At 45.8% G+C, this 14,044-nt stretch overlaps 1 protein-coding gene across 10 annotated transcripts in view, besides 1 other annotated feature; it reads right to left on the bottom strand.

Annotated features, from left to right (window-relative positions):
• The window catches only part of BICRAL (BICRA like chromatin remodeling complex associated protein), a 122,218-nt gene that overhangs the window by 16,097 nt on the left and 92,077 nt on the right, over positions 1–14,044 (bottom strand). For all 10 annotated transcript variants that reach the window (XR_007059228.1, XM_047418544.1, XM_047418547.1 and 7 more), the window contains one exon: positions 263–368. Coding sequence is in view for 9 of the 10 variants with exons in the window: in XM_047418544.1 (XP_047274500.1) it covers positions 263–368 (106 nt within the window). In the remaining variant the exon portion in view is untranslated. The remainder of the gene's footprint in view (positions 1–262; positions 369–14,044) is intronic.
• Positions 10,362–10,562: a silencer, noted in NCBI's record as "peak5810 fragment used in MPRA reporter construct". NCBI's record gives its function as "represses an SCP1 promoter by STARR-seq MPRAs in K562 erythroleukemia cells {active_cell/tissue: K562}" and the evidence as "EXISTENCE:reporter gene assay evidence [ECO:0000049][PMID:32103011]".

Below are 14,044 nucleotides of genomic sequence, written 5' to 3'. Positions count from 1 at the left end.
GAACTCCTGATCTCAGGTGATCCACTCTCCTTGGCCTCCCAAAGTGCTGGCATTACAGGCGTGAGCCACCGTGCCCGGCCCAATGCTATCTTAGAGTTGATGCAACACAGTATATTATTTGCGGAAAGGATACAGAAAGAAAGGAATAATCGGAGTGGAGACGAGATTAAGCCAGAAAGCTTTCGTGCAGAATGAGGGAGAAAAGTGAGAAGAGCATCCCGTGGTGTTGGGAGGACAGGGACAAACTGAGGAAGCTCCTGACCTGGCAGTGTGGTGCTCAAGAGCCCAGGGATCTGTGCTTGCCTCAGGCCGTCTGTGGTCTTGGGAGCAGAAATGGGGGAAGTCTGATTCAGACATTTTTTCTGAGCCTGTGAAACATGACAAAGATGAAAACATTAATTTCATTTCTAAAGCTTTAACAGATTATTTTAAATACCAACCAAGCCTCTTCATGCCTCCCTGGTACCTTCAGGTTAGATTATAAACAAACCAAAAATTTAATAATTGTATTTTCTTATCACTTCAGGGGAACTGCAAAGTACATCCTTTAACAATCTGCAGGCACACTGAATTTTCCTGATGCCATTCAGCGGGGATGCTGAGTTGATACCAGGCTATTTTCTTGCTCCCGGGGCTGCTGTGTTTGTGGTGCTCAGATGAAAAAGCTGCAGCTGGGAATTTCTACCCCCAGTAACCTTATATCCTGCCTGCTAGGATTATGATCCTGACTATCAGCTCCTATGTGGGGTCTGCACAGACTCCAAGCACCTGGTCAGGGACCAAGGGCCAACCCCAAATTTTTTGTCACCACTCATTGTTTTGCTGTGTAGATGATATAAAGTATATTTCATCACTACCATCTGGTATATCTCTAGTTTGTGTTGTGTCAACATCAGGTGGCATGCAATTGAGAAATGAAAATCAATTTAATATTAGCCTGAGCAAAATATAATTAGAAAAATTAATCCAATGTTTAAATTGTTGTGTGTTTCTTTTCTATAAATGGGGAAGATGAAATGGATAATGTTTAAGAACTAAGTTCCTTTTAGTTCTTAAAAAAAACTTATGTTATCTCATAACGTATTTTATTATTATTATTTTTTTGCCATAGGGTCTCATTATGTTACCAAGGCTGGTCTCAAACTCCTGGGCTCAAGTGATCCTTCCACCCAAGTCTCCCAAGTAGCTGGGATTGTATGCATGCACCACCATGCCCAGCCTCTATAATACATTTTAAGTAAAAAGATAAAGGGCTTTTATTTATTTATTTTTTTTGAGACGGAGTCTCTCTCTGTCGCCCAGGCTGGAGTGCAGTGGCACGATCTCGACTCACTGCAACCTCCGTCTCCCAAGTTCAATGGATTCTCCTGCCTCAGCCTCCTGAGTAGCTGGGATTACAGGTGCATGCCACCACGTCCGGCTAATTTTTCTATTTTTAGTAGAGACAGGGTTTCACCATATTGGCTGGGCTGGTCTCCTGACCTCAAGTGATCCATCCACCCTGGCTTCCCAAAGTGCTGGGATTACAGGCATGAGCCACCACACCCAGCCAATAAAGGGCTTTTAAATTACCCTCAGTTTTTTTTCCTTTTGAGATGGAATCTCACTCCGTCACCAGGCTGGAGTGCAGTGGTGCAATCTCGGCTCACTGCAACCTCCGCCTCCCGAGTTCAAGTGATTCTCCTGCCTCAGCCACCCAAATAGTGTGCCACCATGCCTGGCTATCTTTTGTATTTTTAGTAGAAATGGAGTTTCACCATGTTGGTCAGGATGGTCTCGAACTCCTGACCTTGTTATCCGCCCGCCTCAGCCTCCCAAAATGCTGGGATTACAAACGTGAGCCACCGTGCCCTACCTACCCTCAGTTTTTAATCCTCTGTGCCATTACTACTTCATAGTGCAGTAACTTTTCAGAGTTTTTTTCTTGTTTTTTTTTTTGAAAGATGAAGTCGTGCTCCGTTGCCCAGGCTGGCCTGCAGTGGCGTGATCTTAGCTCACTGCAACCTCCACCACCCAGGTTCAAGTGATTCTCCTGCCTCAGCCTCTCGAGTAGCTGGGATTACAGGCGCCCACCACCACACCTGGCTAATTTTTGTATTTTTAGTAGAGACGGGGTTTCACTGTGTTGGCCAAGCTGGTCTCCAACTCCTGACCTCAGGTGATCTGCCCACCTCAGTCTCCCAAAGTGTTGGGATTACAGGCGTGAGCCACTACACCCAGCCTCTTCGGTTTTATATTATTTATACTATCTATGGATTTAGAGTTTAGTCTAACCATCTGCACAGTGGACTTAACTATGACCTTGGCCTCAGCAAAATGTTCCCACCAACCATTCACATGTAAGTGCTCACATAGACCCTGGCAATGCCTGACCATTGACAAACTAAGCTTATTTATTTATTTATTTATTTTATTTATTTATTGAGACAGGGTCTCACTCTGTCACCCAAGCTGGAGTGCACTGGTGTGATCTTGGCTCACTGCAACCTCTGCCTCCCAGGTTCAAGCGATTCTCTTGCTTCAGCCTCCCAAGTAGGTCTGACCATGCCTGGCTAATTTTTGTATTTTTTGGTAGAGATGAGATTTAACCATGTTGCCCAGGCTGGTCTTGAACTCCTGACCTCAAGTGATCCACCTGCCTTGGCCTCCCAAAGTGCTGGGATTATAGGCGTGAGCCACTGCATCCGACCAAACTAAACTTATGTTAACATTTCTGTTCTAGGCCGGGCGCAGTGGCTCATGCCTGTAATCCCAGCACTTTGGGAGGCCGAGGTGGGCGGATCACGAGGTCAGGAGACAGAGACAATCCTGGCTAACTCGGTGAAACCCTGTCTCTACTAAAAATACAAAAAATTAGCTGGGCGTGGTGGTGGGCACCTATAGCCCCAGCTACTTGAGAAGCTGAGGCAGGAGAATGGCGTGAACCTGGGAGGCGGAACTTGCAGTGAGCCAAGATGGTGCCACTGCACTCCAGCCTGGCCGACAGAGTGAGACTGTCTCAAAAAAAAAAAAAAAAAATCTGTTCTAAACAATTAATTATTTGGTTCTCTTTTGTAATATAAAAATGAAAAGGAGGCCAGATGTGGTGACTCATGCCTGTAATCCTGACACTTTGGGAGGCTGAGGTGGGAGGATCACTTGAGCCCAGGAAATTGAGATCAGTCTGGGCAACACAGGGAGACCTCATCTCTACAAAATTAAAAAATTAGCTGGATGTGGTGGCACATGCCTGTGGTCTCAGCTACTTGGCGGTGCTGATGTGGGACAACTGCTTGAGCCCAGGAGGTTGAGGCTGAAGTGCAGTGATGAAGCCACTGTACTCCAGCCCAGGTGACAGAAGGTTATTAAAGAGGTGGACATGGTCACCTTTTTCATTCTTCCACTAACAGGGAAGGGTGAACCTAAACTATTCCAGGCAATGAATTATTAGGAAGAAACCCACAAGGGGAAGGGTCAACGTGAAAATCTTCCAGTTTTACAGCATGTCCCCTACAAGGTGACCCCATGATGTCCTACTGTAGTATGGGAAGTTCCCCATATGGTGGACACCTGGACAGGTGTCCTGGCCAGGCTTGAGCCACCAAGCCCAGCCGTGAGTACCTGCTTTATAATTAATTGTTTTGTCATTGTTTGTTTGTTTTGAGACAGGGTCTCACTCTGTGGCAATCCTGGGTCACTGCAACCTCTGCATCCTGGGCTCAAGGGATCCTCCCACCTCAGCCCGAGTAGCCGGGACTACAGGTGTGTGCCACCAAGCCTGGCTAGTTTTTGTATTTTTTGTAGAGATGGGCTTTTACCATGTTGCCCAGGCTGATCTCAAACTCCTGAGCTCAAGCAATCCACCTGCCTCGGCCACCTAAAGTGCGGGGTTATAGGCGTGAGCCACTGCTCCCGGCCATAATTAATTGTCAATGATACATTTATGTTTTATACATTTCCTGAATGTGTTCTATTTTACAATATAAAAGATTGAAAGAAAACAAAAATAATAATCTAATGTCAGAGCATGAAAATTTGCAATCGCTTGAGGATTTTATTTTTTTTGGAGATAGGGTCTTGCTCTGTCACTGAGGCTGGAGTGCAGTGGTGCAATCACAGCTCACCGTAGCCTTGACCTCCCAGGCTCAAGCCATCATCCCACCTCAGCCTCCAGGAGTAGCTTGGACTACAGGTATGCACCATCATGCCTGGCTAATTTTTTTTTTTTTGAGATGGAGTCTCACTCTGTCGCCCAGGCTGGAGTGCAGTGGTGTGATCTTGGCTCACTGCAACCTCTGCCTCCCGGGTTCAAGCGATTTTCTTTTTCTGTTTTCTGTTTTTTTTTTCTTTTTGAGACAGAGTCTCACTCTGTCGCCCAGGCTGGAGTGCAGTGGCGCAATCTTGGCTCACTGCAAGCTCCGCCTCCTGGGTTCACGCCGTTCTCCTGCCTCAGCCTCCCGAGTAGCTGGGACTACAGGCGCCCGCCACCATACCGGGCTAATTTTTTGTATTTTTAGTAGAGATGAGGTTTCACTGTGTGAGCGAGGATGGTCTCGATTTCCTGACCTCATGATCCGCCCGCCTCGGCCTTCCAAAGTGCTGGGATTACAGGCGTGAGCCACCGCGCCCAGAAAAGATTCAAGCAATTTTCTGCCGCAGCCTCCCAAGTAGCTAGGATTACAGGTGCCCAGCACCACACCCGGCTAATTTTTGTATTTTTAGTAGAGACAGGGTTTCACCATGTTGGTCAGGATGGTCTCGAACTCCTGACTTCATGATCCACCTGCCTCGGCCTCCCAAAGTGCTGGGATTACAGGTGTGAGTCACCGTGCCTGGCCAATGCCTGGCTAATTTTTTAATTTTTTTGTAGAGACGAGGTCTTCCTATGTTGCCCAGGCTGGTCTCGAACTCCTGGGCTCAAGAGATCCTCCTACCTCAGCCTCCCAAAGTGCTGGGATTATAGGCGTGAGCCACCGTGCCTGGCCAAAAATCAATACTTTTAATGTATCACATCAATATCGATAAGCTAAAGAAGAAAAATCCCATGATTGTATCAACAGATGCAGAAAAAGTATTTGACAAAAAGCAACACCCATTCATGAAAAAAACTCTCAGCAAACTAGGAATAGAGGGGATCTTTCTCAATTTGATAAACATCTATAAAAAATCTACAGCTAATTTATGCTTTTTAAAAAGGTTTTGAGAGGTTTATTCATTGTTGTTTTTGTTTTCCCTAAGACAGGGTATCTGTTGCCCTGGCTGTAGTGTAGTGGCACGATCTTAGCTCACTGCAACCTCTGCCTCCCAGGCTCAAGTGATTCTCCCACCTCAGCCTCCTGAGTAGCTGGGACTATAGGCATGCGCCACTGTACCTGGCTAATGTTTCTATTTTCAGTAGGGATGGATTTTCACCATGTTGGCCAGTCTGGTCTGAAGTGATCTGCTCACCTCAGCCCCTCTAAGTGCGGAGATTAAAGGCATAAGCCACCAAGCCTAACTCATATTTAATGGCAAAAAACTTGAAGTTTTCCTGCTAAGATCAATAATAAGGCAAGGATGACCCTCTTATCACTGCTTTTCAACATGTTTTTGAAAGATGTAGCTAATGCAGTAAGACAGAAAAGAAAATACACAACATGGTATTACTTGCCAGAGGGCAGATAAGAGCTAAAGTCCAGGGAAGAAGCAACCGCTACACACCCTCTAAAAGTGCCAAGCCTACCAGTAAAGCAGGTTGTCTACCCAGAGGGGTGCCTTTTTATACTTTGGCCCTGAGGGGCACTTTTTCCTAATTTGTACAAAGGCTCCAGATTGAGCAGCAGAGGCCCTGGAAAACTACTTCCTTGTGCCGCCCAGAAGACTACCCCTCCAGTCATGGTTTACTCAACCACAAGTGGCCTAATCAGACTCTCTGGAGAATTTGAAGCTGGGGTAAGGGATGGATATCAAGAGGCAGTGGTTCTCAAATTCAGGTTGCGTCAAGATCACCTGGAGAATTTCTGGGTTCCATCCACAAAGATCAATTCAGAAATCTAATGTGGGGTTTAGGAATCTATAACTCTTTATTTATTTATTTATTTATTTATTTAACTTATTGTTTATTTTATTTTTTTGAGCCGGAGTCTTGCTCTGTCGCCGAGGCTGGAGTGCAATGGCGCGATCTCAGCTTACTGCTACCTCCGCCTCCCGGGTTCAAGCGATTCTCTTGCCTCAGCCTCCTGAGTAGTTGGGATTACAGCCACCACGCCCGGCTAATTTTTGTATTTTTAGTAGAGATGGGGTTTCACCATGTTGGTCAGGCTCGTCTCGACCTCCTGACCTCGTGATGCGCCTGCCTCGGCCTCTGAAAGTGCTGGGATTACAGGTGTGAGCCATGACGCCTGGCCTAGGAATCTATAACTTTTTTTTTTTTTTTTTTTGAGATGGAGTCTCACTCTATTGCCCAGGCTTGAGTGTATCTCGGCTCACTGCAAGCTCCGCCTCCTGGGTTCCCGCCATTCTCCTGCCTCAGCCTCCCGATTAGCTGGGACTACAGGCACCCGCCACCACGCCAAGCTAATTTTTTTTTTTTTTGTATTTTTAGTAGAGACGGGGTTTCACCGTGTTAGCCAGGATGGTCTCTATCTCCTGACCTCGTGATCCACCCACCTCGGCCTCCCAAAGTGCTGGGATTATAAGCGTGAGCCACCGCGCCCGGCCAGGAATCTATAACTTTTTAAAGCTTTCCAGTTGATTCTGATGTATTGTTAAGTATTGGAAACCGGCGCACCTGCCAGTGGCTGTTAAATGCTTGGTTTGGAATAATGTAAAGATAGCCTGGGGCAATCATTTTAGTCCAGGAGAACAAGGAGGGAGAACAATGAAGGAGAGCTAAAAGGCCATGCTGTCGTGAAGAGGCCCAGAGAGCAGCAGAGAACCTGAATTCTTGCCCTCATAAGGTGCTACACTATACTTCCTGGACTTGGGCTCATTCACAAAACACATCTCCCAAACATGTTACGGGGAGTTTCTGATAGCTGCAATCCAAAGTCCCTTGATGAGCCATTTGAGTAACCACTGTGTACACAGCACTGTGGTAATCACAGAGAAGGCAGGCTGGGCGCTGTGGCTCACGCTTGTAATCCCTCCGGAGGCTGAGACAGGAGAATCGCTTGAACCCGGGAGTCGGAGGTTACAGTGAGCCGAGATCGCACCATTGCACTCCAGCCTGGGTGACGACTGAAACTCTGTCTAAAAAAAAAAAAAAAAAAAAAAAAAAAAAAAAAAAAAAAAAAAAAAAAAAAAACACCCAAAAAACAAAAAACAGAGAAGGCAGCCGAAGGATACCAAACAGTCTTTATCTCAAATTTACCATCCAAGAAACACACAGGCTCACAGAAACATGATAGATCAGTGTGTTATAATTATGGTGCCCAGCCTCAACTGGAATCCAACCCCACAGCTGTCCAGTAATCCTTTTTTTCCCTTTAGTCAGCTCTTTTGAATGCTATTTTATTATAAGCAAACCTATAAGCTAGATAACTTTCTACCACGAAAGCTACAATCTTACCCTTTCCCACCTTCTCTTGCTACAATAGGTGTCCCTCCTCTGTCTACAAAGAATCCTAGCAATGCTCTAGAATGAATGTCTTTCTCCTTCTCATCAGCTGTGAAAAAAGCTCTTCTTTCACTACAAAAATAATTCCCTTAATCCCACACATCCTCATAGCTATTGCTCTTCAGTTACTTTCATTTATCTGACAGCTGTCTATGCTCATGAGCACACCTCCTGCTCTCTCCTCAGTCTGTTGCCATCTGGCTTCTGCACCTACCATTCCACAGAAACAAGTCATACCAACCAGCAGCCTCCCAGTTGTTAAATCTATCAGAACGCCCACTCCTTACCTTCCTTCTCAGTGTGCATCACTCTGTGGATCTTCTTTCTGCAACACCCTCTTTTTTTTTTTTTTTTTTTTTTTTTTTTTTTTTTTTTGAGATGGAGTCTTGCTCTGTAGCCCACGCTGGAGTGCAGTGGCGCGATCTCGGCTCACTGCAAGCTCCGCCTCCCGGGTTCACGCCATTCTCCTGCCTCAGCCTCCCGAGTAGCTGGGACTACAGGTGCCCGCCACCACTCCTGGCTAATTTTTTGTATGTTTAGTAGAGATGGGGTTTCACCGGGTTAGCCAGAATGGTCTTCATCTCCTGACCTCGTGATCCGCCTGCCTCGGCCTCCCAGTGCTGGGATTACAGGCGTGAGCCACCGTGCCAAGCCCATCCTCTTTTCTTAGCCTAAATGTTGAGGTGCTGTGGGGTTCTCCTCTGGCTGTTTTCTACTCTATCTATATGCTCTCCTTGGTCCATTTCCTCCACTCCCATTGCTTCAGTTGAAATTTATATGCTGGCCAGGCGCGGTGGCTCACGTCTGTAATCCCAGCACTTTAGGAGGCCGAGGCGGGCGGATCACAAGGTCAGGAGTTCGAGACCAGCCTGACCAACACGATGAAACCCCGTCTCTACTAAAAAAAAAAAAAAAAAAATTAGCCGGCATGGTGACGCGCACCTGTAATCCCAGCTACTCAGGAGGCTGAGGCAGGAGAATCACTTCAACCAGGGAGAAGGAGGTTGCAGTGAGCCGAGATCGTGCTATTGCACTCGCCTGGGTGACAGAGTGAGACTCCGTCTCAAAAAAAAAAAAAAAAAAGAAGAAATTTATATGCTGATCAATCCCATTTCAGCTCATATTTCAGTGTTCAGCTTCAGCATATATAGCCGTGTATCATATAATTTGGCTGTCCTACAGGTACCTCAAACTTGACGAACATACCCTAAACTCAGTAACTTCCCTTCAAATCCAAATCTCTCCCCATTTTTCTAACTCAGTGAACCTGTGTGTCACTGTCAGAAACCTGTAAGTCATCCTTATCCTTCCACTATGCCCAATCAATCACAAGTTCTATCTAACCTAGTTGTCTCAAATCCATTCATGTCTCGTCATCTTTCCTATACTGCTAGTGTAGGTCTACTTCATGCTTAGATTACAACACTGGCTCTTATCATGGCATCCAAGACCTACATGGTTTGTGCTCGCCTTTCCCACCTAACACCCTACTCGCCTCACCTAAACGTGTTTTCCTTTCCCCACAGCACCATGGTCTCTTTTCTCTCCAGGCTCTGCACTTGCTGTTTCTATTTCATGGAACATTCTTCACCCAGATCCTCTCTGCCTGGGTAACTCTCAGAGACCACCACCTCAGGAAACCTTCCCTGACCATCCCAACTGGGTTAGAGGCTCCTTTTCGGAGCCCGCACTCTGGACTACTCCTAGCACATGCTTAAAATACTGTGTTGCCTGGGCGCAGTGGCTCACGTCTGTAATCCCAGCACTTTGGGAGGCCGAGGCAGGCAGATCACGAGGTCAGGAGTTCGAGACCAGCCTGGCTAACATGGTAAAACCCCGTCTCTACTAAAAAAATACAAAAAATTAAATGGGTGTGATGGTGGGCGCCTGTAGTCCCAGCTACTCGGGAGGCTGAGGCAGGAGAATGGCATGAACCTGGGAGGCGGAGCTTGCAGTGAGCCAAGACTGTGCCACTGCACTCCAGCCTGGGTGACAGAGCAAGACTCCATCTAAAAAAAAAAAAAAAATACTGTGTTCTGACTGTTGGCTTATCTGTCTGTCTGGGATACATTGTTATATGTCTGGGGCTGGCATGTGGTAGGTACTCAAATACTGTTTGATGAATGAATCAATGTAGAAAACATTTAACAAAGTAAGTGGTTATGTACCTAGTGGGGTGTACAAATAAAAAGTATAATAGGCAGGAAGAGATCAGTGAAGGGACTGAAAAACCTTCATTTTTTCTAGGGGCTTTGGGTGGGACCTTGAAGGAGGGGAAGAATTTAAACAGGGAAGGAAAGGACATTCAATGTATACCCATCAACAAAGGCCTGAACACACAATGAGTCTGGCCTATTTGTGGGAAAAACAGGGGATCAGCCTGGTGGAAGTGGAGGGTTTCTGACTAGAGAACCCTGACTGCCAGGTCGGAGATTTGTGCTTTCTCCCGTGGGAATGAGAAGCTCCCTGATGATTTGGTTCAAATATTTTAGGAGGATTAATGTGGAAATCTGCCTTCTTTAGGAAGAGGACGAAAGCAGATTAATCACCTAGATAATTGTTGCAGCTGTCTAATTCGGAGGCGTTAGGGTTGCAATGGGCTTTGGAAATCAGGTAGCACAGTACTTCTGTATCCTGGCTGCACTTTAAAATCACTTGGGGAGCTTTTGAAAAATGCTGATGCCTAAAGCCCTTTCTCCAGACTATTTAAGTCAGAATTTATGTGGGTGAGGCTCAGGCATCCACAGTTTTAAAAAGCTCCCCAGGTAATTCTATTGCACAGCTAGAGTTCCTCATTTTAGAAAAGACAAAACTAGGGCTCAGAGAGTTTAAGATACAAGCTTAGCTCAGAAACCACTCGCTGGCAGAGTGGTACCTATGACTGAACTGGAACTGCTGATTCACCTCCTGTTTTTCTGTTATATTCTAGTCTCTCTTAAAGCCTACCTTGGGGTATGGATGTAGAAAAGGAGAAAAATGGGAAGCAGTGTGGTATAGATAACTAACAGGTAAAGTTAGCCTTTATGAGTAATTTGTCCAAGCTCTGAACCCCCATATTCTCTGCTGTGACGTGGGAACAATAATGCTACATGTAGCTCCAACGTAATTAGAAATAGTGTGTGGAGCCCCAGCACTGTCCTCGTTAGTAATATGATTAGTATTTTCATTGTTATTGGAGAGAATGGATAGGAGACATTTTCAAATCATTTATTGGATTTGGTAATTCATTAAAGGCATAGAAGGAGAAGAAGAAAACAAGAACATCTAGATTTTTAAGTCCAGACGTCTGAAAATACAACGGTTCCACATAAGGAAGGCAGGCTGAGCTACAAGGGGGATAGGGAAGTAGGGAGGGGCAGAGCGGGACTAGAAACTTCAGCAAAAATTCAGAGCGATTGGCAGGGCAGCGTGGCTCACGCCTGTAATCCCAGCACTTTGGGAGGGTGAGACGGGAGGATCACAAGGTCAGGAGTTCGAGACCAGCCTGGCCAATATGGTGAAACCCCATCTCTACTAAAAAATACAAAATTAGCCAGGTGTGGTGGTGCACGCCTGTAGTCCCAGCTACTCAGGAGGCTGAGGCAGGAGAATCGCTTGAACCCGGGAGGTGGAGGTTGCAGTGAGCCAAGATCGTGCCACTGCACTCCAGCCTGGCGACAAAGTGAGACCCCATCTCAAAAAAAAAAAAAAAAAAAAAAAATATTCAAGAGTGATCATTCAGGCACTCTCACATCCAAAGCATGATAGGTACTATATAGGTGATATGGGCTCAGCCGCTTTCAATTTTTTTTTTTTTTTTTTTTTTTTTAAAGATTGAGTCTTGCTCTGTCGCCTAGGCTGGAGTGCAGTGGTATGATCTCGGCCCACTGCAACTTCTGCCTCCTGGGTTAAAGCTATCTTGTGCCTCAGCCTCCTGAGTAGGTGGTATTATACAGGCATGCCCCACCACACCTGGTTAATTTTTGTATTTTTAGTAGAGACGAGGTTTCACCATGTTAGCCACGCTAGTCTTGAACTCCTGACCTCAAGTGATCCACCCGCTTCGGCCTCCCAAAGTGCTGGGATTACAGGTGTGAGCCACTGCGCCCTGCCTGCTCTCAATAAAATTTGAATCTACGAAATCCTTTAGTGATCCAAAGAGATTTGGGGCCAGGTGCGGTCTCTACTAAAAATACAAAACTTAGCCAGGCATGGTGGCAGGCGCCTGTAATCCCAGCTACTAGGGGGTGCTGAGGCAGGAGAATTGCTTGAACTGGGAGGTGGAGGTTGGAGTGAACTGAGATTGCACCACTGCACTCCAGCCTGGGTGACAAAGCAAGACTCCATCTCAAAAAACAAAAACAGGCAGGGTGCGGTGGCTCATGCCTGTAATCTCAGCACTTTGGGAGGCCGAGGCAGGCGGATCACGAGGTCAGGAGATCGAGACCATCCTGGCTAACACGGTGAAACCCTGTCTCTACTAAAAATACAAAAAATTAGCGGGTGTGGTGGCACATGCCTGTACTCTCAGCTACTTGGGAGGCTGAGGCAGGAGAATAGCTTGAACCCGGGAGGCAGAGGTTGCAGTGGGCCAAGATTGCACCACTGCACTCCAGCCTGGGTGATAGAGCGAGACTCTGTCTCAAAAACAAACAAACAAACAAACAAACAAACAAACAAACAAAAAAGAACAAAAATAAAGAGATTTGTCTGAGTGTTATGGCTAGTGCCTGTAATCCTATTTGGAAGGCTGAGGTGGGAGAATCACTTGAACCCAGGAGTTCAGCTTGGACAACATAGCGAGACCCCATCTCTAATAAATAAATAATAGAGAAATTTGGACCTATACTAATTTCTTTACTTTTGTTTGATAGATTATTTTAAATTGTCTCCTTAGCAACTGACTTTTGAATTTTAATCCACTTACAAGAAAGTGTAAATCCTGTAAATCACTCTCTGCACAAAAAGACTTAGTTCACAGGCTCCTTCGGGAATGGCTGATTCCAGGTTTGAGGCAAGGTAATCTAAGGCAGTCCTACAGTGTCTTGTGACACAAAGCAAGGAAGTGTTCAGAGGAGGTGAAGACATGTCAAAAGTATAGGAGCCAGCTCAAACAGGCTTCCATTGATCAAATTTGGGACAATTTAAGCATCAAAAAGAATGAGGAACACAATAAATTACAATATATTAAATACAGAAATAATACATTAAATACAGAAAGAATACATGATCTCTTAGAGATATGTGTTAAAATATGACAGATAAACTGATATGATGGGTGAGCTTCAAAATCATACCAGGCAGGGGCAAAGGGGGTGGGGATGTGGATGAAACAAGAGCAGCTATGAGTGGTAAATACTCAAGCTGAGGGAGTATGAGGGCTCATGACAGTGCTTTGTCTACTTTGTGTTTAAAATTCCTCATAATAAAAAGTTCTAAAAAACAAACATAAAAAATCCTGGGCCGGGCCTGGTAGGTCACATCTGTAATCCTAGCACTTTGGGAGGCTGAGGTGGGAAGATCGCTTGACCCCAGGAGTTAGAGCCAGCCTGGGTAACATAGCAAGACCCCAGCTCTATTTTTTAAAATAATAATAATAATTTTAAAAATCCTAACAACAACAATAATGATCCCTATGAGTTCACAGTGCTACTCAAAAAAAATGGGAAGGAGAGGAAGAAAAAGCTCTTTTTTTTGGAGACAGAGTCTCACTCTGTTGCCCAGGCTGGAGTGCTGCAGTGTAATGGCACAATCTCAGCTCACTGTAACCTCCGCCTCCCAAGTTCAAGTGATTCTCCTGCCTCAGCGTCCCAAGTAGCTGGGACTATAGGCACACGCCACCACACCTGGCTAATTTTTGTATTTTTAGTAGAGACAGGGTTTCGCCATGTTGACCAGGCTGGTCTTGAACTCCTGACCTAGGTAATCCGTTATTTATTTTTTTGAGACAGAGTCTCGCTCTGTCACCCAGGCTGGAGTGCAGTGGCGCAATCTCAGCTCACTGCAACCTCTGCCTCCCAGGTTCAAGTGATTCTCCTGCCTCAGCCTCCCAAGTAGCTGGGATTACAGGCATGCACCACCACACCCGGCTAATTTTTGTATTTTTAGTAGAGATGGGGTTTTGCCATGTTGGCCTGGCTGGTCTCAAACTCCTGACCTCAAGTGATCTGCCCGCCTCTGCCTCCCAAAGTGCAGGGATTACAGGTGTGAGCCACTGTGCCTGGCCAAAAAAGCTCTTCTTTCTGGAAAAATCCCAGGCAATAAATATAGATAGGATACTACAATTATAAAATCATTATTTTGTGACTATCAATATAATATTCAGGTGAGAGGCATCAAAGGGTGAGAGGCTGAGAAACAGAATAGTCACATGGTCTATCCTGGAGATCATTTCTTCTTTACAAAGGGAACAAGACACCTTTGAGACCCTTGCGGAGAAATCTGGGAGAGGCCACTTAACCAAGTGCCCACACTCAGCATCACCACGAA

This window comes from Homo sapiens, chromosome 6 (genome assembly GCF_000001405.40).
Source record: "Homo sapiens chromosome 6, GRCh38.p14 Primary Assembly".
NCBI classification, from domain to species: Eukaryota; Metazoa; Chordata; class Mammalia; order Primates; family Hominidae; genus Homo; species Homo sapiens.
This window is presented reverse-complemented; position numbering and strand designations above follow the sequence as displayed.